We start from the raw sequence: 3,091 nt of genomic DNA, 5'->3' as shown, positions 1-3,091 counted from the left end.
AGCAAAACAAACAAACAAACAAAAAAAACAAGAAGGGTGGGAGGATGTAGAGGGATGAGAAATTACTTAATGGGTACAATGTAGTATTTGGGTGATGGCTACACTAAAAGCTGCTGTGAAAATATATCCATGTAACAAAACTGCACTTGTACTCCCTGAATCTATAAAAATAATTTTAAAAATAGCTTATTCAAGTGCAAAGTGTGAGGGTGGCTGTATGGGAAAACAGGGATACCAAAGAATGGCGATGAGTGCTCCCCAGTGTAGAGAAAGGTAGGGGTCATTTATATAGGAAAAAACAAGAATGCTGAACAGAATTACATTTTCCACACAAGACTAACAAACAGTTACAAGACCTGATTGGTTATGATCGATTACGCTCTAAGTGGTTGCTTAACATTTCATATAAAGAGGTAGATAAAGAGTCTCTATCTCCAACAAGATTTAATCTAGGTTTGAATAAAGCATAGGAGTCTGGTTAATGTATAACATCTCAACACAAAGGTCAGGAAGCAATGGTTGTGCACCAGACAAGAAAAACAGCCATATTATGTGAGTCAGTTTCCGGGACTTAATTTTTCCCCTTGGCATAATAAATCTGAAATTTTCTTTTCTTTTCACAGATGTTCTGTTAGAGACAACTGTAGGGAGTACTGATGAAAGAAATATAAAAACAGAACATCAAAGTAAACTTTATTGAATCAATACTGACTGTTCACTGTAGGATGATGTATAACAATTGGAGCTTTAACTCCAGATTAAATAGAGCTGAAAATACATCATAGCTTTGTAATCACTTATAAGCTATCTGAATACATGAATTTAAATACTTTTTTTTTTTTTTTGCTTAACAATTAAATTAGCTAATTCTATACTTATGAATTGGCATTTTCCCTTGGGTCTTAATTTCTTGTTTCTCCAACATGATGTTTTTTTCACAGACAAGGTCTCACTCTGTTGTCCAGGCTGAAGTGCACTGGTACAATCATAGCTCACTGCAGCCTCAAACTCTTGGGTTCAAGCGATCCTCCTGCCTCAGCCATCTGAGTAGCTGGGACCGCAGGCATGCGCCACAACAACCAGCTATTTTTTAAATTTTTTGTAGAGACAAGATCTCACTATGTTGCCCAGGCTGGTTTCCAACTCCTGGGCTCAAGTGATCCTCCCACTCAAGAGGCCAGACAGTGGCTCAGGCCTGTAAAGCCAGCACTTTGAAAGGCCAAGGCAGGAGGATTCTTGATGCCAGGAGTTTGAGACAAGCCTGGGCACCGGGCAACATAGCAAGATCCTGTGTCTACAGATTTTTTTTATTTGAGACAAAATTTACCTCTGTCACCCAGGCAGGAGTACGGTGGCACAATCTTTGGTCACTGCAACCTCCACCTCCTGGATTCAAGCAATTCTCCCACCTCAGCCTCCCAAGCAGCTGGGACTACAGGCATGCACCACCATGCCTGGCTAATTTTTTTTGTATTTTTGGGCTGTCTTTACAATTTTTTTTTTTTGAAATGTAGTCTCACTCTGCTGCCCAGGCTGGAGTGCAATGGCGTGATCTCAGCTCACTGCAACCTCCGCCTCCCAGGTTCAAGTGATTTTCCTGCCTCAGCCTCCCAGGTAACTGGGATTACAGGCTTGCACCACCAGGCCTGGCTAATTTTTGTATTTTTAGTACAGACGGGATTTCACCATGTTGACCAAGCTGGTCTTGAACTTCTGACCTCGTGATCCACCCTCCTTGGCCTCCCAAAGTGCTGGGATTACAGGCATGAGCCGCTGCGCCCGGCCTACAAAATTTTTTAATTAGCTAGGCATGGTGCTGTGCACCTGTAGTCCCAGCTATGCAGGAGGCTGAGGCAGAAGGATCGCTTGAGCCTGGGAGTTCAAGGCTGCAGTGAGCTGTGACTGAGGCACAGCACTCCAGCCTGGCTGCCAGTGTGAGACCCTTCCTCCAAAAACAAAACATAACAAAATATTTAAAAGACAAAAAACATATGCAATGAGTGGACCTTTTTTCTTGGTTTTCTTCGTACCCTGATTCAAACAATCCAATAGCATAAATATAATTTTAGACATTTAGAAAAATTTAAGTAAGGACTCATTTTAGAAATCTGAATATGAGGCCGGGTGCGGTGGCTCACATCTGTAATCCCAGCACTTTGGGAGGCTGAGGCGGGTGGATCACGAGGTCAGGAGATTGAGGCCATCCTGGCTAACAAGGTGAAACCCTGTCTCTACTAAAAATACAAAAAAAATTAGCCGGAAGTGGTGGCAGGCGCCTGTAGTCCCAGCTACTCGGGAGGCTGAGACAGGAGAATGGCGTGAACCCAGGAGGCAGAGCTTGCAGTGAGCTGAGATCCCGCCACTGCACTCCAGCCTGGGTGACAGAGTGAGACTCCGTCTCAAAAAAAAAAAAAAAAAGAAATCTGAATATGGGTCCAGGCGCGGTGGCTCATGCCTGTAATCCCAGCACTTTGGGAGGCCAAGGCGGGCGGATCTCCTGAGGTCAGGAGTTCAAGACCAACCTGCCCAAGACGGTGAAAACCGTCTCTACTAAAAATACAAAAAATTAGCTGGGCGTGGTGGTGGGTGCCTGTAATCCCAGCTACTCGGGAGACTGAGCCAGGAGAATAGCTTGAACCCAGGAGGCAGAGGTTGCAGTGAGCTGAGATCACGCCATTGCACTCCAGCCTGGGTAACAAGAGCAAAACTCCGTCTCAAAAAAAAAAATTTTGAATATGGGTATTGGATGATATCAAAAGAATATTGTTAATTTTGGCTCAGGAACTCCTCCAAGTCTTTGCTGCTACATCCTCAGGCCGCAGGCTGACTGAGATGCTGCCATTCAACCTTCTTTCTCCCTCTCCTTCACTCTGGGTCAGCCTTGCATGGGTCTGATGAGGCTGATCACTGTGACTGCTCTCTCAGCCTTTCCCGGCTTCCTCCTTGTTTCCTTTCACTCTAGTGTTTCCCCCAGTAAAATACTTCAAGTGTAATCCCATCTTGCTGTCTGCTTCTCAGAAGAGCCAGACTCGTCATTTTCTAATGCTTAATCCTGCTTCATATGCCTATGTTGGTTTCCTTCTACCATTTC

Source organism: Homo sapiens, chromosome 12, assembly GCF_000001405.40.
Source record: "Homo sapiens chromosome 12, GRCh38.p14 Primary Assembly".
Classification (NCBI taxonomy): Eukaryota; Metazoa; Chordata; class Mammalia; order Primates; family Hominidae; genus Homo; species Homo sapiens.
The sequence above is the reverse complement of the archived record's forward strand: the minus strand, read 5'-3'. Positions refer to the sequence as shown.